Source organism: Homo sapiens, chromosome 21 (genome assembly GCF_000001405.40).
Source record: "Homo sapiens chromosome 21, GRCh38.p14 Primary Assembly".
In the NCBI taxonomy this organism is placed as follows: Eukaryota; Metazoa; Chordata; class Mammalia; order Primates; family Hominidae; genus Homo; species Homo sapiens.
Genome location: NC_000021.9, coordinates 29,659,266 through 29,683,329, shown reverse-complemented (window position 1 = coordinate 29,683,329; position 24,064 = coordinate 29,659,266). Strand labels below are relative to the sequence as shown.

At 38.5% G+C, this 24,064-nt stretch overlaps 1 protein-coding gene across 13 annotated transcripts in view; it reads left to right on the top strand.

The window, feature by feature from the left end:
• GRIK1 (glutamate ionotropic receptor kainate type subunit 1) overlaps positions 1 to 24,064 on the top strand; it is a 403,064-nt gene that overhangs the window by 256,667 nt on the left and 122,333 nt on the right. For all 13 annotated transcript variants that reach the window (NM_001320621.2, NM_001320618.2, NM_175611.3 and 10 more), the window contains one exon: positions 10,166 to 10,347. In NM_001320621.2, coding sequence (NP_001307550.1) covers positions 10,166 to 10,347 — 182 coding nt within the window. The remainder of the gene's footprint in view (positions 1 to 10,165; positions 10,348 to 24,064) is intronic.

Genomic DNA, 24,064 nt, shown 5'->3' with positions numbered 1-24,064 from the left:
CATATGAGTGTGTGGGTTTTTTGGAAGAATGATTTTCTTTTGGATATATACCCAGTAATGGGATTCCTGGGCCAAATGGCAGTCCTGTTTTAGGTTCTTTGAGAAATCTCCAAACTGCTTCCCACAGTGGCTGAACTAATTTAAACTCCCACCAACAGTGTATAAGTGTTCCCTTTTCACCACAGCCTCACCAACATCTGTGTCTTTTGACTTTTTAATAATAGCCATTGTGACTGGTGTGAGATGGTGTCTTGTAGTTTTCATCTGCATTTCTCTGATGATCTGTCATGATGAGCATTTTTTCATATGCTCGTTGGCCACTTGCGTGTCTTCTTTTGAGAAGTGTCTGTTCACGTCTTTTGCCCACTTTTTAATGGGGTTATTTGGTTTTTTTTTGTTTGTTGATGTAAGTTCTTTATAGATTCTGAATATGAGACATTTGTTGGATGCATAGTTTGCACACATTTTCTCCCATTCTGTGGGTTGTCTGTTTACTCTGTTGATAATTTCTCTTGCTGTGCAGAAGCTCTTTAGTTTAATTGGGTCCCACTTGTCAATGTTTGTTTTTGTTGCAATTTCTCTTGAGAACTTAGTCATGACTTCTTTACCAAAAACAATGTACAGACTGGTATTCCTTAGGTTTTCTTCCAAAATTTTTGTAGTTTGAGGTCTTACACTTAAATCTTTAATTCATCTTGAGTTAATGTTTGTATATAGTGAAAGACAGGGGTCCTGTTTTATTCTTCTACATATGGCTAGCAAGTTATCTCAGCATTATTTATTGAGTAGGGAGAAGGATAATACCTTGAATTCTTATTATAGACACCATTAAGCTAAATATTTAGACCAAAAAAAATGTAAGCAAAAGAAAACAGGGTGCTTCAAATAGGAACTTTCCTGTTCTAAAATTTACCTATGGATAGGCCCGCCTCCCAAAATTCACAACGACGCCAGCCCTTACTTCATTATAAATATGTGGATATTGAGAACATTCATGTACAGAATACATGAGTAAGTCTAAAAGAACTAAAATGTTTAGGCTGCAAAAGAAAAACATAAGGACATAGAAGTTAATGGCTACTGAACACTGAGTCTAAAGGGTGATGGAATAGAAGAAGCTTTAGCTAGTCCTCTGGGCTTTCATGGACAAAGTGGGTGAAGGATTGAGGGAAGCAACTTTAGCATCACTGAAAGAATGAACTTTTAATCACCAGATCTCTCAAGAGATGAATTGCATTTCTCTCCAAAATATTTAACACCCTGACCCAGAAGAGTTCAAGCCCAGGCTTGGAAAACCCTGTCATAGGCAGGTCCTGATATAAGGATTCCTGTAGTACCCAAGAGGTTACCCTGGCACCTAAAGTTGCTCCCAACTTTGGATAAATTGCTTTTCTAAAACACAAATTGCCACTGCACTGTCCCATCGTGATGCCACCCTGGTAGATCATCTGTTTCTTCATCTTCACTAATGCTGTCAGAGTCTGTCATTCCACAAATATTTATTGGATATGCCAATAAATATTGGTACCAGGCATTGTTCTAAGCATATGGAATACATTAGTGAATAAAACAGATAGAACCCACTGACTTCAAGGAGCTTAGGTTCTATGGGAATAATAAACCATTTTTTCATTCAATATAAAATGATTATAATTGTTGAACGGTGGTGAGTCTGTGGAAGAAAGAAAAAGTAGAGCAGATTGAAGGGAATCTGGAAGCCAGAAATGTGGTTTGCAGAATTAAAGGTCATGTCACATTGCACAGATGAGGCTTGAGCAAAGGCTGCAAGGAGCTGAGGAAGTGAACCACGTTCTGTGAGAGAGAAGGCGGTTCTAGTCAGACAGAACAGCTAATGTCTCAGGTGAGAGTGTGCCTGGTACCTCAGAGCAACAGCAAGGAGGCCAGGGTGGATGGATCAGAGTAAGAGGGGAGGGGAGATAGAAGAGACGGTCAGAGAGGAGGGCCTTGTAGGTCATGCAAGACTTTGTAAACCATTGGAAGAGCTTGTGCTCTGCCTGGAATGGGAAGCCGTGGAAGAGTTTTGAGCAGAGGGTGGATAAGATCAGAGTAACATTCTGCAGTAGTCTCTACTCATCCTAAGGGGATACATTCCAAGACCTCCAGTGGATGCCTGAAACCACGGATAGTACTGAACCCTATATGTACTATGTTTACTTTTTTCTTTTACTTTATTTTTGAGACGGAGTCTTTCTCTGTCATCCAGGCTGGAGTGCAGTGGTGCGATCTCGGCTCACTGCAACCTCCACCACCTGTGTTCAAGCAATTATTCTGCTTCAGCCTCCCCAGTAGCTGGGATTACAGGCACTCACTACCACGCCCGGCTAATTTTTGTATTTTTGGTAGAGACTGGGTTTCACTATGTCGGTCAGGCTGGTCCCGAACTCCTGACCTCGTGATCCACCTGCCTCGGCCTCCCAAAGTGCTGGGATTACAGGCATGAGCCACCACGCCCAGCCTGCTATGTTTATTTCTATATATACATACCTAAGCACTTCTTCTATATTTGTCTGTATAGCACTTGTATGAATAATACCATGATAAAGTTTAATTTATAAGTTAGGCACAGTAAGAGACTAACAACAACAATGATGAAATGATTCACGTCCCATGTGGACAGAGCAGGATGGTACAAGACTTCATCATGCTATTCAGAAGGGCATGCAATTGAAAACTTATGAATTGTTTATTTCTGGAATTTTCCATGTAATACTTTTACACCACGACTGACCGTGGTTCGCTAAAACCATGGAAAGCAAAACCTCAGATAAGGAGGGCCTACTCTTGAAGAATAGTAGGAGTAAAAGAATCACTGTACACTCTACAGAGGCAAAGGTAGAAATATGGCAACCTGCCAGATGGCTCCTATAGAAACCCAGGGAAGAGATGGAGGCAATACAGTAGAAGAGTAAGATACGCTCAGGTTCTGGAAACATTTTTAATGTAGAGCTGGCATAATATCTGAGAGGATATTTGAATGTGTTCCCCATTTGAAAGTTTTTATTATATATGATCATGTCCTCTTTCCTTTATCTCCATTTGTGTGGTGACATTGGGCTATGTTTGAATGATTGCTCAAACATTGTAGGGTCTTTGAGGGAACTGTACAAAAATCATCATGGATATTCTCAACTGCATGCATTTTATCTATTAGTTTCACTACTACTTTAAGATGTCTTTTTGAGTATCCAGCACAACCTTTGGGTCTGTATGACACTTATTTTGATTTAAGGAACTCAATGACCTAAGAAACTTGGGACACCTCAGGTTGCCTCAAGATATTAACCTGTTTGGAAGATAGCGAGCATATTCCCTCCTATGGCAAACTCCTCTGAAATATCAAAGTTTGGCTCAGTGTTTCAATTAAATCAAATGTCAAGAAAAACACTTTGTATTCCTTAGACACAAGACAAATGCCATATGTTAAGTTTATTTTTAAATGGAGGATAAAAACAGGAAGACCGTGTTCCAGTCTGAGAAAATATTGATGCCATGGTGTTGGTGAGGCAGGTTACGGTTTAATTCATACCTGTAGATCAAAGAATCAAAAATTAACTCAAAATGCTAATAATATCCTGAGGGAGTAGAGGTTAGGAAAGAAAGAAGAGAGAAATAAAAGATTGATCTTTTTGTCCTGAGCCAAAGGATGGAGTTGTCATTACCTGAAACAGGTTATAGGTGGAACTAGTTTGAGGAAATAAGAATGATATCAGAAATTGAGTCATTAATATGTTAAGTTTGAGTTTCAGATATCTATTAGACATCTGAATAAGGGTAAGAACAGGCAGTTAATACCTGAGTCTAGAGTCTAGAAAATGGATCTGGGCTGGAGACACAAATTTGAGTGGCCTCAGCCTATAGATAGGACGGGATGAGTACATCAAGGAAATGAGCACCAGACAGATGCCTCTAGCCCTGAATTTATAACACATCAACCTTGAGAAGTTTATCTTTGTTTACCTTAAGTCATTTTTCTCAACACATCACAGCCATGAGATTTCTAAAATGCAGCCTGCAGTGAAGAGTTAGTTGTTAGTCATCACATCAAATATAGTCTCCGAGCTTTACTGTAAGGATTAATTTGAAATGAGAATAGCATCCCTAACAGTGGCAGTGATTGAAAAAAACAATCAACCCTGGGAGAAAACATACATGAAATGAAAATCGCAATAATAACAATAACTAAATTCTTGAGTGCTGACTATGTGCACTGTCCTAAATAGATGATTAACTCATTTAATGTGCTCAACCAGCCTGTGAGTAAGTGAAATATCTGCTCTTATAGCTGTATTTAAGTAATGACTTAGTTTTTAAAAACTCTATCTGTCATAGTTCCTTCCATTTTCCCATAGAAAACAGAAATAATATACTCTTCTAGAACTAAGAATCTTGACAGAAGCCTGAAGTTTGGACTCAAAGAAAATCAACACTTTGGCATGAGTAGTCAAGCTAAAATGCAAGATGTGCTATACACAGTCAGTGCCAAATAAGTGACTCTTTTCACCTTCTGTCATCACCACTCACCCCACTGTGTCATTATGACCACTTGTGATAGCTAAAACTCTTCTGCTATGTGCTCTCCCACCATTCCACTGAAATAACCCAACGATGGAACATTCTTTACACTCAATATCAAAAAAAATGATAAATTACAGTTTCTTTTTTTCTCTGTACTCACTTTTTTCTACCCTTCATATCTCCCACCTCGGTTCTTTGACCAGAACCTTACTTAAATATTCAGAACTATGCCCAGGAAACCAATATTTAGATATTCCAGGCCAGGCATATTCTTTTTAGCTACTGTTGAAACTTAACGAGAATTCAGCACCAACATATACTGGTGGAGCTGAGTGCAATACACTTTCTTGAATACTTAGACTAGATTCTTCTATAAGCTCCTTTGTAACCAAGGTACACAATTTTTCTTTTGGGAAGACTCCCACTTGCCTTCTCTGTTGCACTTCTGAAAAACGCTATGTATGAAGATCTGCACTTTAAAAGCATTGTGTTTCCCCAGGTAATTCGCTCACATACCCGTTTTCATTTTTTAGTTTTGATTTTTCCTCCGCTCTGGAGGATGCACAGATCCCCTTAAGAATCGTATTAGATTTGGGTACATTAATATACCCACAAGTTTATGAAATGCCATTTTGCATATTTCCAAGTTCAAATAGAGAAGAAATTAACATTTAAAATTTGCAACCTGATCTTTGGGTCCCAGTGGTTTATAACATTCATGCTTATGGCATCAAACTCACTGATGGTTTAACAAACAGGAAATTGGATTAAGACTCAAGAAAACCTAGGTACTTTTCTTTTGAACCGAGACTCATTAAAGATAGCTAAAGCTATCCAGCAATGGATTGGACTGCGGTGTAAGGTAGAGAATTTCTCACACTGAGAGGTGTTCAGCAGTGGCTGTGTAGAGGGGACTCATGCATCAAAAGGAGTTTGACCTGAAGGTCTCTTCCAATTCCTGCTATTTGTGACCCATTTTCAGGGCCGATCCAAACAATTAACCTCACCATGCCTCCCTTTCCTCACTGTAAAATAGCACTGACACCTATTCACCTCAGAGGTATATTCTAAGGTTTATTTCGCTATTTATAAGGCATGGAGCAGACTTCATAAAAAGGGGCAATCTAAATAGCAAAGTTTGTTATTACTTAAAAGGAAGGCATAGGAAATCTTCAATGCTCACTGGAAATAGCAGAGGTTTTTTTTTTTTCCTCCTCCATATGCTCCACCTGTTGCCTGAGTTACCCAATGTGCATGCAAATCAGCATTTTTTTCTGTGTCACATCTGAGTGCACCGAGTAGACAGGCGGCCAAAGCAAGTGTTTAGAATTGGCCATTTGGATATTTTTGAAAGTTGTATCTATATGCAGAGCTTAGCTCAAATTCATGTGAAAAAAAACAGCCTTCTTTCTGTAAAGCGTTTATTCAACCAAAGTTGCATTTCCAATTTCATTCTTGGGGATAGAAGTGGAAGAAGCTTTTATGATATGATTTTATATCTGTATGTTTTGTCTTTTTATTTAGAAAGATTTGAACTTAGAGAAAAGTTGCAGGACATGTACAATAAACTCCTGTACACCCTTCACCTAGATTCATCATTTATTATCATTTGGCCTCATTTGCTGTAATGCTCTATCATTCTCTTAATATAGAAACACCTACAACAATAAAAATTATACTAAGTAGTAGCACTGTTGAACCATTTGAAAGTAAGCTGCAGATATCTTGACCTTTTTCCCCATAAGTACATTAGCATGAATTTCCTAGGAAGGACCTTTCTCGTTATAACCACACTAAGATTATCAAGTACAGGAAACTTAGCAATAACGTAATAATGTTATCTAAACATATAGAAATATATATTTGCTAATATTATTATTGGCAAAATAATAATATATGTTTGCTAGTTGTCCCAGGATCACTCATGGCATTCAGTTGTCAAATCCCTTTCATCTCCTTTGATTCAGACAATTCAGCCTTCTTTTGCCATATATGACATTGACATTTTTAAAGAGTCCAGGTCAGTTTTATTGTTGAATGTCCCTCTATTGGGTTTGTCTGGTTCTCTCTTGCCTACGTTTTATTTTTAAATTCTCTCCATCTCAGTGGGCTAGAAAAAAATTCACGTTATCAGCATTACATGCACCTTCACCATTCACTGCAACTGGGGTTCTGGCAGGGTTGGGTCACTCCATCAGGGCTGGCATCCACACGAGAGAGGATTAGCAAAGCTAGGTGTTGTGCCTAAATCAATGTCCTTTTTCTGAAGCAATTATATGTTTAGCAAACGACTTTTAACTACTCATTACAAAGAAATGACTGATGGATTGCTGCAAAATGCAAATATAAGGGAAAGCTTCCTCTAAATTTTGTCTACTGTGCTTTTTGAATTGTAAATTCTCCATCATTTGCTAATGAAGGCAGAAAGGCTTTTCTTAAGCAAACAATTGCTTCAGGAAGAGAAATAAAAAACTCACTCCCTCCCTGTTCTTTGTTCTTCCCCCAGTTTCCATCCCTAATCTTTAAATCTGCTGATCCTCCCCCTTTCTGAAGCCAGTTTACCTATATACTGGCAAAAGGAGAAAAATAGGAGTTTAACAGTAAGCTTTTTGTAAAAGATAAATTTATTCCAATTAGAAACTAGTCTTTTGGACTGAATTGTTCTCCTATTTCCTCTATTGGTATTAAAATATACCTTCTTTTATGAAACAACTGTAAAAGTTGATGGTCATATTTGGGGGTGTGTGTTTATTAACGGCCTAGTGTGCCAAATAAGGATTTAATATTGTGTGCTGGTCTAGAAATGTTCTTTCTCTGTTACTTATATAGCTATGTATTAATATAGTTAATTAGTCAGTTAATTAGTTTTTCATTCAGCCAGTTGACAAGAAATCCTAAAGTTGGGAGGGGCCACTGATTTGGAGGAAAGAGCCCTAAATTTGGTATCAGAAGGTGGATTTGGCCTTAATCCCGGGTTCTGCCACTTATTAGCTATATAACCTTGAGCAAGTTACTCCAGCCTCCAGCAGTCTTAGCTCATAATCTGTAAAATTAAGTGGTAATTGATGCCTCATCTACCTCAAGAGAGTTGACAGGACAAAATTATCCTACAGGCTGTGAGGACTTTGAAGCAGGTTGTGTTGTCTTGCATCCCCAGGGCTTAGCATGAAGCTTGGCATCTAATGAGCATCCAGCAAATGTTTTCCCATAAAAATAAATGAAAGAAGTGAGAAAATATATGTCAACTTTAAATCCTATAAATATGTAAGTCATCATGATAGAAAGATGTGACATTCTATTCAACACAGAAAAAGAGAGCAGTTCATTGAAGCACACAAAATGCACTTTTTAAATGTTTTCCCAATGTTATTTAGAGACCACATTAAACTGTCCCTTGTGGTCATGGTCATGAAAAAAAAAAATCTATGTGATTGCAAAGCAGGTGGGTGGTAACAGAAAACAGGAGAGAAACTCAGGCAGCCTGGAGTCTCTATTTTTTCCCCATCTCATCAACAAGTCCTAAGCCATATCTGTTCCCTCAGCACCAACAATTTGTATTTATAAGGCAGGATGGTGACGTCAAAAGATTAAGTGTTGGATTCACAAACAGCAATTTTAATCCAGGATTCTTCTTAACTATCTTTGTAAGTTACTTAACTACTCTGGGCCCTGAATTCCTCATTTAAATAATAATAGTAATAATGGTTACATCATAGGATTATTTCAAAGATTAACACATATTACAAATAACAAATATACGAACCCACGTTCTATATTTTGTTTCATTTTTAATGCTCCTCAGTAGTTCATGACGTGGCTGTGGAAGTGAGAAGACAAGCAGGTGATTATAAGTACCTGAGGGACTTCAGTTGACTGATTTGAAAAGGAGCAAGAATCCAGGAAGCCTACTATTCTAGCAATTCAATCTTTGTGTAAAAAGAGAAAAGATTCATGTGTTAGTCCATTTTCACACAGCTATAAGGAACTACCTGAGACTGAGTAATTTATAACGAAAAGAGGTTTAATTGACTCATATTTCCACATGGCTGGGGAGGCCTCAGGAAATTTACAATCATGGCAGAAGGTAAACAGGAAGGAAGAAATGTCATACATGTTGGCAGAAGAGAGAGAGAGAGCAAGGGGGGAAGTGCCACACTTTTTTAAACCATCAGATCTCATGAGAATTCACTCACTACCACAAGAACAGCCTGGGGGATATCCGCCCTCATGATCCAATCACCTCCCACCAAGTTCCCCCCCGACACATGGGGATTACAATTCGGGATAAGATTTGAGTGGGGACACAGAGCCAAGCCATATCAGATAATGAGCACTAAATCTTGATAAGGTTCTACAGCAACCACCCTCCCATTCTACTACTCCTACACATTTAACTCTGAAGTTCAATATCATTATAAATTTATTGTACATCAGAATCAAACCTAACTATGGTGGTAGAGAAACCTTTCCTCATCTGAGCCACACACACACACACACACACACACAAATGTAACTTCTGGTAAAAAAAAAAATAGCTACATAAATAAAACAAGAAAAAGAAAAATGTGACTTTGACAGTAGCTGGAATACATGCTGAATCTTGCACAGAGCATATCACAATTTTCATCTGAATACTCATGAAACTTAATATTCCCTACTGATTACCTAAAGCTGACAAATCCTGAAGGTACAGAACTGCATACTAAAAAAAAAAAACAACAAAAAAAAAAACTCAATTTTTCCGTATGATGGAAGTTCTTGAGTGAGAGCCAAGGTGCAGCGTAGTGAGCACCTGCTAACATTAGGGAACATAAGAGGGAGCCTTTTACACAGCGGCTTTCCTTGTCCTAGTAAAGCATGTCTATTAGGAAACAGTGCAGATCAGTACATCCACACCTGTGGTAAATCAAACATTCTCCATCAAGTTAGTTGGACGTATATGTTTTGTTGCAATAACCAATAGGGAATTTTTTTTTAAATTCTGTTTCTGCTTTTATGATCTTAATTTCTAAAAATTCTATGGTCTTTTTAAAAAATCAAGTAGGATTTTCCAAGTTAACATTCAAATATATTAGCAAGAAAATGTAATGAGCATGAGCCATTTACAAATAGTTTATATGGCATGAACTGAAAGATTATATAAAGCAACCCAATTAATTAGCTGGTTAAGGGTATGTTATATATAAATACTTAATAAAAGGCTTACAGAAGTTTATAGCCTAGACAAATCTCCATATTCTATCGGCTTTGTAAGTGAGCAGGTGTGATCTATTTCATCGAACACTTTTGGAAACTTCAACCAACTTTTTGTTTACCAAGTTTTACAGTTGCAGGCTTGATTTGTTAAAGATGGGAGGTGTTTGCTGAAAGCTGGAAAGGACAATTGCATTCTAAATAAATTTAAAATGCTCCTGGGAAAATTATGCTTCCAAGCCACACACACCCACAAAGGGAAAATGGTATAATCCACCACAGGAAGATGAGTGACAAATGGGAAGTCAGGAGTGTAACCTTTAGGAAGGTGGCCACTGGGTATGTTTTGGAGTTGAAACGAGTTTAACTAAATGGCAATAAACAATACTCTGTCGACAGAACAGTCTCCATTGCATGATTGCATGTCATTTTCTAGGTCTAATTCGTCTACAAGAGCTCATCAAAGCTCCCTCCAGATATAATATTAAAATCAAAATCCGCCAGCTGCCCTCTGGGAATAAAGATGCCAAGCCTTTACTCAAGGAGATGAAGAAAGGCAAGGAGTTCTATGTGATATTTGATTGTTCACATGAAACAGCCGCTGAAATCCTTAAGCAGGTAAGAGGGCTAGGGAGGAGGTGGAGGTGTGGGATAAATGTTATTTTCTATTTTTCAAAAATGCCATCTAGTTTTCACTTAATGCAGCATAATAAAACTGCAGCAGTCCCGTTTATGCTAAAGATTATAATTTTCAGAGCCCTTTTAAACAGGCAAGGGGCTCAGAGAGTTCATGGGGCTTCATTGAAGCCATAATGTGAGTGTTTAGTTGTAAATGTGTGTTTCTATGGGTGGACCGAGTGGTATGTGACTCCTACCAGCTGAAGATGAGAGAAGGACATCATTTTGAGGTGATTAAACATCTCTCTCTCTCTCTCTCTTATGTCTCTTGAAAAGACTGTGCCAGATTTCATTTCCACAATGCCTGACTTGTCCTAAATACATCTTCCTCATGGCAAGACCTTTTTGTCAAACATGCAGGATTGCAAACACAATAAAAAAGGTATACAGGGACAGTTACAGAAAAGATGCCTCTTTCTTCTAATTTGTTCTAGACAATAAACTGCTATGTGTTAGTCTCCACAGATAATGTGGATAGAAATATTTGGTAAATTGTGAAATCCTATATAAATGAAGACATGAGTAATGTTCAAAAAAAAAGAATAATAACAACAGAATAATAATTTCTGAGCACTTGGTCTTAAGTTTAAGAAAGTAAATTCATTGGGAAGCCAAGGCAGGCAGGATCACCTGAGGTTAGGAGTTTGAGACCAGCCTGACCAACATGGAGAAACCCCATCTCTACTAAAAATATGAAATTAGCCGGGCATGGTGGTGCATGCCTGTAATACCAGCTACTCAAGAGGCTGAGGCAGGAGAATCGCTTGAACCCAGGAGGCAGAGGTTGCAGTGAGACGAGATCACACCATTGCACTCCAGCCTGGGCCATAAGAGCAAAACTTCATCTCAAAAAAAAAAAAAAAAAAGTAAATTCAGAATTAGAAACAAAGCGCAGACTGGTGCTTCTCACCCCAGAGTGATTTTGCCCTCTGGAAACTTAGAGCAATGTCTGAAGACATTTTGGGGGGTCATATTTGGAACAGGGCACTCTACTGGCAACTAGTGGGTACTGCTAAACATCTTGTAATACACATCTGGAAAGGCTAGTGAGACGTTTAAAATAGAAGCATTAATAAAAGATCAGATGATTGAATTTGGGAGAAAGAAAAAATATCCAGGTTATATTTATGTGGTCTGCCGGCCATCTCTTTATATTTAAGTCATTATTGTGGCATAGGCAAAGTTTTTATCTAAAATAACACAAGCTGTATTGCACTCCTTTGTTTAAAGGTCTGGGGTTGCTATGTTGTTGATTGGTAAGGGCCAGTAATTTCATAAGTAGATAAACCCCTTCGCAGGAATGCAGAACTGTGGAATTTTGAATCACTAGGAAGAGCTCTCTTCAAATAATCATCTGGCCTGACTCTCTGGTGCTCCATCTCACACTTGCAGAGCACCTCCATGCAGCCATTGAGTTCAGAATTGAGTTTTTACTTGCACTGAACATCAGCAGTCAAAAAAGTTGACCAAATGTTTCTATTATGTGCTGGATGATTAGAGTAAAAAAAAAAAAAAAAATTCTATTTAAAGTTGGAGTTGGGAGGTTAAGGTGGGAGGATCACTTGAGGTCAGGAGTTCGAGACCAGCCTGGCCAACATGGTGAAACCCTGTCTCTACTAAAAATACAAAAAAATTAGCCAGGTGTGGTGGTGGGCACCTGTAATCCCAGCTACATGGGAGGCTGAGGCAGGAGAATCACTTGAACCTGGGAGGTGGAGGTTGCAGCGAGCCAAGATTATGCCACTGTACTCCAGCCTGGGCAACAGAGTGAGACTCTGTCCCCAAAAAATAATAAAATAAAATAAAATAAAGTTGGGAACACAAAGTTGCATTTGAAAGCAATCACAGACATCACCATATCTAATTCTCACACTTTGCAAGATATAAAATGATATTGCCAGAGTCATACATCCAGTGCTTTCTCCACCATGAGATGCTGTCACTCCTGCTAGGCAGAAGAGTATCCATTGCTTAATTCTACGTTATAGTTACATTAACAAATCTTTAGATATTAAAATTTCCTCTCAATAAAGCAAGTAAGCATGTGGCAGTAGTGTCAACAACTGAAGAACTTTAAAGGTAAGTAAATGCAATCAGTAATCCTTTATCATAAGGCTTCATTTAAGAATGTTAATACAGTTCATTAAAGGGTGTAATGAAGTGTGTGGGTCAGAACTGAGAAAAACACCCAGATTTATGTGTAGCCCTCAAAAGGCAAAGAAGCATCCCTTCCCAGGGGCCTGTTGTAACAGAGGCTGAGGACTTCTGTTACATTTAAGAGAATGATTTGCTGATGAGACTTCTCTTTGCTAGATACTCATTTGTCTCACATAACTGGCCACATCTCTCCCAAAGGCAGGTCTGGAATAGGCAAGAACAGTGTATGGTGGCGGCAGGGAAGGGCTGCTAGATTTTCTCTTCTATTTCACTAAATTTGGACTTGAAGTTCCTTTGATAGAAGTAGCTCTTTCCTAGTAGCCTGGGGATTACATCATTCAAAGGACAATTAAAACAAAAACAAAAGCAAAATATCCAAGAATGGCACTCTCAAGAAATGTCTAGCTGGTACAGCGGGGAGTAGGATTAGTTCAGCTTTGTACCAACCACTGACACAGACATTTTTCTCTCTATCCTCTCTCTTATCATGTTTTGGCCTATGTTTGCTTTTCCTAATCATTTTAGTGTTAAGAGTGGCTGTGAGGCTTGGAGGAAGACACTAAAGAGATGGCTTATCCAGTTTTCGTTCTAGACTAATAATCTGCAAATATTTTGGAGATAAGAACCCTTTTTTAAAGGTCCTATCATGAAATTCCTACCGTATTGCATGTAAAAGGGCAATTGCGCTTTTTGGAATAACTACAGAGGACTCAGGTCAGCTTAATGGGGCTTCATTGGAACCTCCAGAGGCTGCTGTGCTTGAAACGGGATATTGGAGACATCAGAACTTTTCTGTTCTGGTCAAAGTAAGGCCCAAGCACTCTATGTGATCCAGCTTAACTTGCTCCATTTGCCCTGGAGAAAAAACTGTAGAAAGAGACTTGTCTGCTAAGAGATTCCCTAGGGAGGCTGAGGACTCAGGAGTTCTGGGTCCTGATTCTGGCTGCCATTCCACTAATCCTTCTACCCAAGGAAAGGAAAGGAAGGAGACTTACCTCTTTTACTGAGGGTCCTAAGAGGTGCCAACAAAGGTGTGTGGCATCCTACATGATCATAGCATCAATCTCAAACAACCCCCTGAGGTGAGTTTCTTATTCTCACTTTCGAGGTGAGGCAACTGACGCTCAGACAGGATAAGTGACCCATATAAGGTCATTCTCTGAGCCTGGCTAGGCTGCCATGTGGTCTCCAGACTGCCTGATCTCAGAGCCTGTGTGCTCACTTTACTCTGAAGGGCCCCCAAGCAGAATGGATGACTATTCTGAAGTAGGCTTTCAGAAATGTCTGGAAAAAACACAGCCATATGCTGCTGGTCTTCTTTAGATAAGATCAGTATTAATAGCTTTTACTTTTCTGGTAGCTGAAATCACTGCCAAGAACATTTCTCTGCCAGGTCAATGTGGTACCCTCTTTATGTGCGTTTTCCATCATTGTCCTGCATTTCCCTGCACCTTTATCATATTTTCTCACCTTTTAATGATTCTTCAGAAAAGAAGAAATCAAAGGCACTTTAAAGATATTTAACATTTATCTAAAAGCAAAAATTGGGGAAAAGTCTATAGTTATTCTTGGGCATGCTAATTACTCCAGCAAAGTAATTATTTCTATTCATATTGAACAAGTACTATATGATGAAAATCTGAGAAGTTATTTCCCCAAAATTCATTTGAAATTTGAATGTCAAGACTTGATTAGGCTACAGAAGATAGGGCTTTCATATGAACTTTCTTCATGAATTTCTACAGTTGGAAAATTTCCATAAACCAGAAGGTCGCATGTGTCCTCTCCCCAACTTACCCACCCACCACCTCGCAGCAGGGTCCTGATGCTTTGAAAAGATGCTGCTCTCTCCTTAACCTGCCTTCAATGTGGAAACCATTGCTCCTCCTCACTCTCATTTCCCCAAGTCCAACTACTCTTTCGCCGACTCTTCGCTGTTTATCCTTCATATACACCCTCATTCATACTGAGTGTGATTTTACTGAGGGAGTGGCTGAAAGGAGGTGAATTTAAAGAATGAAGCAAAGGGCAAGAAAGCTCTACCTATGGAATTCTCAACTTGTACCTAGCAGGATGCTGGGTGCTAAGCAACCATCTCATTTAAGTGACCAAATAACTTTTAATATGATTGGCATTATTCCTCTTTTGCAATTGAAAATTGAAGCCAATTTTATCTACCATATACTGAGCATACACTTAAATAGAAAACACCAAGGCCGCATGACCTGACCTGGCCTCTTTCTCCTCTTGCTGGCCTCCAGTATCCGATGCTCCATTTCAGAGGCATCCTTTCTGGCCACGTGACACAGCCTTTTCTCCCCACATCATAGCCTTTGCACTTGCGGTTGCCAAATCCTGGAACATTCTAAATTCCCAGTCATTCCCACCTAAGTCTTCATGAATATCTCTTAAGAGATAAAAGAGAGGAAGCTCCCTTCTCATTCTCTATATCCCTTCACTCTACTTAGTTTGCTCTATCACCACAATAAAAATCATAGTGAATTAAGACATTTACTCATGTGTTGTCCATATCCTTTACTACACTGTAAGTTCCAAGAGGACAGAAGCCTTCTTTGTCCTTTTCCCCCAAATCCCTAGCACCTACTACATTTGACACACAACGAGTGTTCAGTACAGCTCTGTTGAATGAATAAATGAACCAAACGAATGAATGAGCCAAGAACTGTTCTAGATTCTTTCAGTAAATCATCCCCAAAGTCATATTTTCTTCTACCCCACTGAGTCTGCTATACTCTCATCTCTGCCAAGCACATTTGGGTGAGTTGCTCCTCCGTGCCTGTTACCTGAAAGAAAGGCTTTGTTCAACTATGAAATCCTATACTATTAAGAAACCGTAATGCATTTGAGCCTGTGATTTCACTTCCTGAAAATAAATTTGGCTCTTTGGAGAACTGCCTAGTCACTTTTAAATCTATAGTAGGATTGAGTGAGCAAATCGCTATTTCAGGCACCCATTCCTAATGGTTCTCTGATGAAAAGCAAGATGGCACTGTCTTGCTCCATTCAATGGGAAGCTCCCTGGGGGCTGGGCCAATTTCCTGAGCTGGAGAATGGCCAGCAGGTGAGCATGAACATGCTGTTTCCCACTCAGAAAACCTGCCCTCTCCTTTACATGAACAAATTGAGGGAGATTTTTTCTCCCACAACACTAGTGGCAATGAATATTTAGCTATAATTGAGCCATTAGTCTGCATAAAACATTTAGCACCAAAATAGTTTGTACAGCTATATTGCATTTTCTCCTGTCAACATTTGCATGCTTTTGCTTTTTTCTCCACCCCCAACCCACTTTTTTTTTAAATCTCTTTCAATTAACATAAAAACAAGGCAAAGAAGAAAATGGCTTTTTGTTTGTTTGTTTAATGCCTGGTCTTCCTCTGCTAGAAAGTGCAATGACAATGCTAGTTAATCAAATAATTTTGTGCATTGATTCTCTCCTCATATATGTTGTGCTCAGTGGCTGTAATGATGGCAAACAGAGATGCTTAAATTGGTTTCATCCCTTGTTTAGATAAGACAGAAGCAACCATCAGCTGTGATCTCTCACTATAGAAAACATCAAGTCAAGCATGGCACACTATGCTAAGGGATGGTAAACATGTGCCCACTAAGTCAGATCTATAAGTCAATCATTTTTTTCATCATAAATACATAGAAAAGGCCGAAGACCTCAGGGGCCATTTTATACTGAACACGTACCGTATGCTGGCACTGTGCTAAGCAGCTTAAATGCATCAGTCATTTAATTTTTATGAGAACATTCTGGATAGAAGAAACTGACAGAGCCCAGAGAGATTTTGTAACTTGCCCAAGGTCACAAAGCTAGCAAGTGGCAGGTCTGGGATTTAAAACTTATCTGAGGCTTTGAAAGGAAAAAAAATGTAACCTCTTCTGCTACTGTTGTGTACAACAAGATGTCAACTGATTCTCGTCTTATTGCAACCTGAAACGTATTTTAGTTAAGCCTTGCACTTCTTGAACGAAGGTGTTTCATTTTATTCTCAAACATCTAATCATGTCTAGCTTTACACAATTCCTTAAGAAATGTGAATTGTATCAAATGTCCAATGGCCCAGTAGAGAATGTGGTAGGGATATCATAGAGAAATTTATTTTTTTATTCAATACTTATTTGTTGAGCACTGATTGAAGGTGTTGGAGATACAACAGTGGAAGCAACAACAAGAATAAAAACCCAAATCTCTGCCCGATTAAGGCAAAAAGAGACCTTGAAAATGAATGTAACAAGTGTAAAATTATCCAGTGCTTGCAAATTGGCCTAATACCATCAAGTTACTTTCTTTTTTTAATTAATAAACTTTATTTATTTATTATTTTATTTGAGACAGAGTTTTGCTCTTGTTGCCCAGGCTGGAGTGCAATGGCATGATCTCGGCTCACTGCAACCTCCACCTCCCAGGTTCAAGCGATTCTCCTGCCTCAGCCTCCCAAGCAACTGAGATTACAAGCATGCACCACAACGCCCAGCTAATGTTGTATTTTTAGTAGAGATGGGGTTTCTCTATGTTGGTCAGGCTGGTCTCAAACTCCCGACCTCAGGTGATCCGCCTGCCTTGGCCTCCCAAAGTGCTGGGATTACAGGCGTGAGCCACCAAGCCTGGCTTATTTATTTATTTTTCACTTTTGTTTTCAGTTCAGGGGTACATGTGCAGGTTTTTTATATAGGTATGTTCCTGCCAGTGAGGGACTGTGATTAGAATCTTAGACTGAAAGTTGGGAGACCCATTTGCAAATTCTGCTTTTTCCCTAACAGAAAAAAATAACTACCATTTATCTGGTATTTACTGCATGCATAATATGCTACGTGTTTGACTGGAATGATTTCTTTTTATCCTCTCAAAATAGTCTTTGTCATAGATGAGGAAAATGAGGCTTCAGGTCACACACTCAGTGACAGGTCTGGAATTTCAGATCAGAGTATGATGTTCACATCACCCATGTTGCTCACATCCTGTAAACAGGCAACTTTGAGAAATTCTGTTGATGCCTCTTCAACTCAGTCACCTCATCTGTAAACAAAATTATCAAAGCTTGCTAATATTTCCATCAGCTCTGAGCTTCCATGCATACACGTGACCAAGAATCCTCTTACTAGCGTTTAGATATAAAGAACTTGCTTGTACTTAGTAGGCTTTCAAAGAAATGGGAAATTAATTAAGCAGTTCATTCTTTCTTAAAGTTTCTCCAGTCCTTTGATAGTCTTTGAGCCAGTTAATTGATAAGTTCATTACTTTGGATAAATCCTGACAATGTAATGATGATGAATCTCAATTTATACTAATTTGATGATAATTTGTAGTATGTTATATAATTACTTTGGCGGTACATTCTCATCGTAATTATGTTTCTCTCAGGCTGATATTAAAATCTATTTATATTCCCTGAACACATAGTTAGTTTTAGTTGTACGGAGCGGTTCATAGTTACGAGTATATTATTAAATGTATACAAGAATTAATTGACCTTTGTGGATAACCAACAATTTACTAAAGGTGTGTGCAATTTGCCCATATTCTTAGTGTCCAGGATATCCATTTGAGGATTCTCAAAGGCCTCCAAAAAGTCAGTTTAAGAAAGGACTTAGATTTGCTTCAACCTGAATTGGGAAGCGAGAAAAACCATATATGCATATGCTTCAAAAATGCTCTAATGCTTAATCCCGGTTATATCAACTTTTGACTATAGTAGGAGATAAGAAAAATTTTCCTTGCAGTGGAAGCAGGGGAACTTTAGAAGAAACTGTTAAAAGTATTTGAAGATATGTATGTCAGGGCACATCTTAAGCCTATTGGATCAACAAACTTCAGCTTTATTCAAAATTGTAGGAAGGTGCATGCTCTTGGGTGTGCCTTTTTTGTGGAAAGGGGTTTGTAGTGTCCGTCAGATTTTCTAAAGAAGCCTGCATACTAAAGTGGTTTAAAAATTACTTTGCTAGGTTAACCTTATCTACTTCCTCAATACTTCATAAATGCAAGATCTTATCAAAAGGATCCTTCCTTCCTACTTTTCCCATGACTGTTAGCCAAATCCTCTCTGCTATAAGGGTAATCCTATGAAATGTAACTTTCATCATTTATCCAGCCAAATTATGTGCCAGATTTTTTTTTTTGGCCCGTAGAGTTCTATGTGCCAAAGAATCTTCTAGGGTGAAATGGGAATTACAATATCATTAAAAACTCTAATGTGTTAGACGAGATCATTATTTAGTGAAGGTTCAGGTGATTCATTATTTTCCACTTCTCTAAAAAGGGAATGTATTAGTACATATGTCACATTATTTGAGAAAATTTAAATGTGACAATGTATTAAATATAAGGCATTAAGCTCAGCACCAATATATAAAATATTCCACTTAGAGATTATCATTGTCATTAGTAGCAGTAGTCTTTTGTGTAGGCAAAACTACAGGTGTGATACAATTCTTAGAACTGGCTTCCCAATTCCAACTCTGTATCACGACATCACTCCCTGCTCTACATCATAACAATGATTTCCAAGATTCCTCTCAGCCTAACATACCAAGTCTCCCTGAGATCTCACCTAATGTAATTACATTTCCATGCTAGAATTAACACTTTGCATCCTCTTTGTTCTTCCCCCAACCAACCAGTTTCTCCTGCTCTGTCCCTTTCTTGGTAACTAGAAATTTCATCCAATTACTGCAGCCAGAAACCAAGAAATCCACCTTACTTGCTCTCACCTTTCACATTCATTAGTTAGCAAACAGTGGAGATTCTGCCCTCGGAATATGTTTCAGATTCAATCTCCTTTTCTCTATCTCTCATCATCTTCCTTCTCCACTAATATAATTGATCTCTCTGCCACAAGTTCCTTTCCCCTCCTATTTCCTAACCATCCTCTGCATAGTCTAAAACACTATTCATTCTGAGTAAAACATCTGATTTTATACCTCCATGTTTGAAATTGCTGAGTGCCACCCTCTCCACCCTGGATGTTGCATTAAGAATAAAGGACACATTTCTTAGCAGGCCATGCAGAGCTCTCCACATCTGTCCCCACTGTCATTATAACATGTATTGCAAAAATATCTATTATGTCTAATATACCCTTTTAGCCAAAAAAAATCTGTTACAAATTTTAGAAACTATCCTTTCTTACTCCATTAAGGAGATTAAAGTTCTTTCCAAATGTGACCTAAAGGGATTCAAAATCACAAGAAAAGCTGTATCTAATTAATTCTAATATCTCCAGGGATGTCATAATAGGAGATCAAGGTAGGTCTGAATTCTTACAGAAGAAGAACTGTGAGTTAAGCACCTCCTAGTCCCTGGAACATCATCCAAGGGCCTTTCACAGCTGAGTCCAGCATTTATACAGGAGGCTCCCTCACGGGTAGACAGGAAACTTAACAAACTCTGGCAGGTGGATTGATGCATCCTACTTAAGATAAAGCTTTGACTCCTGTGGTTCTAACTTTGGTCTTAAATAACCATATGCTTTTATTTGGGATCTCAAACTCCAGCAGAATTTTGTGCAAATTATTAATTTTCCTGCCACTTGCACCTCCTATTATCAATTAAGAAATTAATAAAGTCCTAAGATCCCAAGATTGAAATCAAACCTGGGTTCAAATACTATAACTATGCTTTATCTCTAAAATCTATAAATTAGGAATAACACTTCCTCTCCAATTAAATGTCAATAACCTATTACTGTAGTGAACATCGTGTTGTGGCACTCAGCAAGCAGTCGCTGTGAATATTATTGTTGTAGCTTAAAAATATGAGCTTGGTTAATATAAATCAGTGGTTCTCAGCACTGGCTGTACATAAGTATCACCTGGGGAGTTTTTAGTAACTATCAATGCCTGAAACATATCCCAGACAAAATAAATCAGAATATTTAGGAATGAGGCTCAGGCATTGGTATTTTGGAGAAGTTTCTTGGTGGTTCTAATAATATACTAAGAAACACTGATATAAATTATTTTTTAAGCCTGATAGTTTTCAGATAAATTAACAAAGTCAAGTCACCCAAAAAGCTGAAGATCAGGCCCCAGACTCATGAAGACTTTACTGGGCAATAGAGATCTCGTGAGACCAGCAAGATCACCATTTAATGGCTGCACCCCTGTCTCTCCTTCAAAAGGTGACTTTCAAGCAAATTTGAGGTATAGTTTTCATTAACATCATTATCAAAGAAGCTTGTTGCAAAAAGATTACACTGAATCATCTGGGGTAGATAATAATTCAAAATATTCTGTTACCTTCCAGCTTCTAGATTTTGTTCAATAATTTGCTGTTAAAATTTGTTTCCTCCGTATTCTCTCTTACATATCATCTTTCCACCAATTTTCCCTAGATGTTGCAGAGAGGTTATTTTTTAGTTTCATGTAATTGCCCCAAAAGTTCCATTCTCTCCTGTTTACCAGATTGCCTATTTCATTCTGCCATGGGAAAACTTCTTTTCCTGCTCTGTTCTCAACAGTCTGCACTCCTTAAATAGCATAATCTCATCTGTTGTGCACCTGGGTGATGCAATCTGGCTCTTCTAGTAGGATCATCTTCCAAGCTAAACTAAACCCCAATGATTTGCACTCCTTTTATTAATATCTATTAGTATGAGCTTCCTTTCTCCTGCAGACCATACCTCTAAGGAGAGAAGCTTATAAAGGAGTTAACACTGAGAAGAACTTCCAAATAGTACAGTTATTTAATTCATCAACTCTTTGTGGAATATCTTTTGCTTTTCTTTAGTTTAACTTGGAGGTAGGAGAAAAAGGGGCTGGATTTATACATCATATAGCACAGTTTTCAAATCCAAGGAAAAACCCTAGACTTGTGGTTAGCTTATCACCTGTGTACATGCATGTGGTTAACACGTGTAAGTGAATGGAGGGAAACAGAGGAACTTAGCAAGTTGTCAACCTCAAATGAAAAAAGTCAATTTTTCCTCTTGATACATGTTTTTGACGTTACCAAAGCTGGAGTAATGTACCAATCACTGGAGTTAGGGTTACAGCGATTTCATATGCCATAATCACAGAAAGATGAGAAAATGAGATGTATTGGTTTTCTATTGCTGTTTAAGCCAAATTTAGTGGCTTTAACAATATATTTGTTTACAGTTACAGAAATCAGAGATCTAAAATCATGTTGTTAGCAGGTCTGCTTTCCTTTTGGAAACTTCTGGGGAAAATCCAACTTCTTGCCTTTTCTTACTCACAGAGGCCGTCCTCATTCCTTGTCTTGTGGCCCCGCATCACACTCCATCTTTCTCTCTCCTTCTATTTACGCATTCCCATTTACACCTTCTCTGCCTTAAGACCCTGCTGTTTTCATTGTGACTACATTGGGCCTACCTAGATAATTCAGAGAAATCTCCCCATCTCAAAATCTTTCATTTATTCACATCTGTAAAATCCATCTCCAGGTAAAGGAACATATTCCATTGGTTCTGGAATTAGGACGTAGACATCTTTAGAGAACCATTATTTGGTCCCCTCCATAAGTAGATGGATATCTTTCTGTATATCAGGATTTTTCTGGTGTCAAATGCTATTTTCTGTATATTCCACTATTACTTTTGTAGATGTAAGCTATAATCATTCAATGTGGCATGAATGTACTTTCTATAGCAATAAACACTGGTCTAAAGACTGTCTTATATCCATCTTGTTCTACTGATGACCACCATTAAAAATTGCATGGCCAAAGAGGCATCTGGCTCAGAGGATAGTATAGATGCAGCCTAAAATATTACAGTTAGCAAATAAAAAAGAGCTACACACTGAAGCTCAAACTTTCATCTTAAAATTGCTGCTCGGAGACTTGATATCATTCACCTGGTTTTCTGAAGACTCCTGTGCCAAAAATACCTTATTTCTATCTTGAGGTAAAACCATTATTTTAGCCACATTGCATGTTCACACATTTGGAAGTTATTCACTTGAAATTATTGATTACAAACCATGTCTGGTGGTTTAGAATTTATCCTGATATTGAGAAAGGCTATAAAAAGAGAAATACACTTCGGCTTAGTCAGTATAAACTTCCAAGATACCTATTTTTCAATGGAAAAAAAGCAGTAATAAAAAACCATATAAATATTACAAGAACACCTCAAAGTTGCTCAGTAGCACTCCAGGTTCCATTTTGAGTTTCTGTTACCACAATAGTAGCAGCAGACCAATTATGTGTGGCATATGGATTTCCCTTAGTGATGGTTGCTGAGAATTTGTGGAGAGGAATTTTTCATTGCTGTCTCCATAGCTCTGCATTGCCTTCCAGGAAATGATCAGACTGAAATATGGTCCAGGCTTCTTAAGATAACTCCATGTGTGGTTGGAAGATTCTGAGCCAAAGACTTTCCCTGTATTTTGTAGAATGACTCTGTCAACAACCACAGCCATTAGACCCCTATGAGCTACGTCCTGGTCATCTTTACCTAGACTTCATTGAGGACTCACAAGACAAACTAAAATATGGCCTTGGTGCTGCTCAGGCCGTACATGATAACTTCACCCATCAAGATCTAAGAGATCATCATTGCCAAGAACAACTAGGCTAGACTAAGAAGGTCAATACTACTGTGAACAAGGTCATGAGTGTTCTGTGGCAAAAACTCCAGAAAGCAGCTGGACCAATGTGGGATCACTGCTGTCAATGAGCAATGACTGTGTCCCAGGATATATTGATAACAGTTAACAGTAGGGCCTTAGAATTGTCCTTTCAAGAGGCAGCTGGCAGTGAGGGTTTTTTGTTGTTGTTGTTGTTGGGTTTTTTTTGTTTTGTTTTGTTTTGAAACAGAGTTTCACTCTTGTTGCCCAGGCTGGAGTGCAATGGCCTGATCTCGGCTCACCACAATCTCCGCCTACCAGGTTCAAGTGATTCTCCTGCCTCAGCCTCCCGAGTAGCTGGGATTACAGGCACGCACCACCACTGCCGACTAATTTTTTGTATTTTTAGTAGAGACGGGGTTTCTCCTTGTTGGTCAGGCTGATCTTGAACTCCCGACCTCAGGTGATCCGTCCAACTCGGCCTCCCAAAGTGCTGGGATTACAAGCGTGAGCCACCGCGCCTGGCCGGCATTGAGTTTTTATTCTGCCTTCTGATGACCCATTTACTGCAAATAAAATAAAGCAGTAATTATTTTTTAGCTACTGGAACAATGGAATAGTCTTGTGGCATTTCCATGTACAGTAGCATGATACGGAGAAAGCATTTACAATAGGTACAAGACACTCCCCCGCTGCTGATTTAAGGATTATGTTATCTAGATGGAATGGAATTTCATAAGTATGCAGGAGCTTAAGTCTTTTGGTATTGATGTCTTTTGAGTTCTTATAATTAATTCTGTAACAATGTAGATTAGAATTAACTAACAATGGTGATCATTAGAGGTAGGGGGGGAAAACTGTTTTGTTGGAAACTTTTTTTCATTACTCTAACCCAACTCAGCTACATCAGATCTGAAGAATTCCACTCGTTTATATGGGG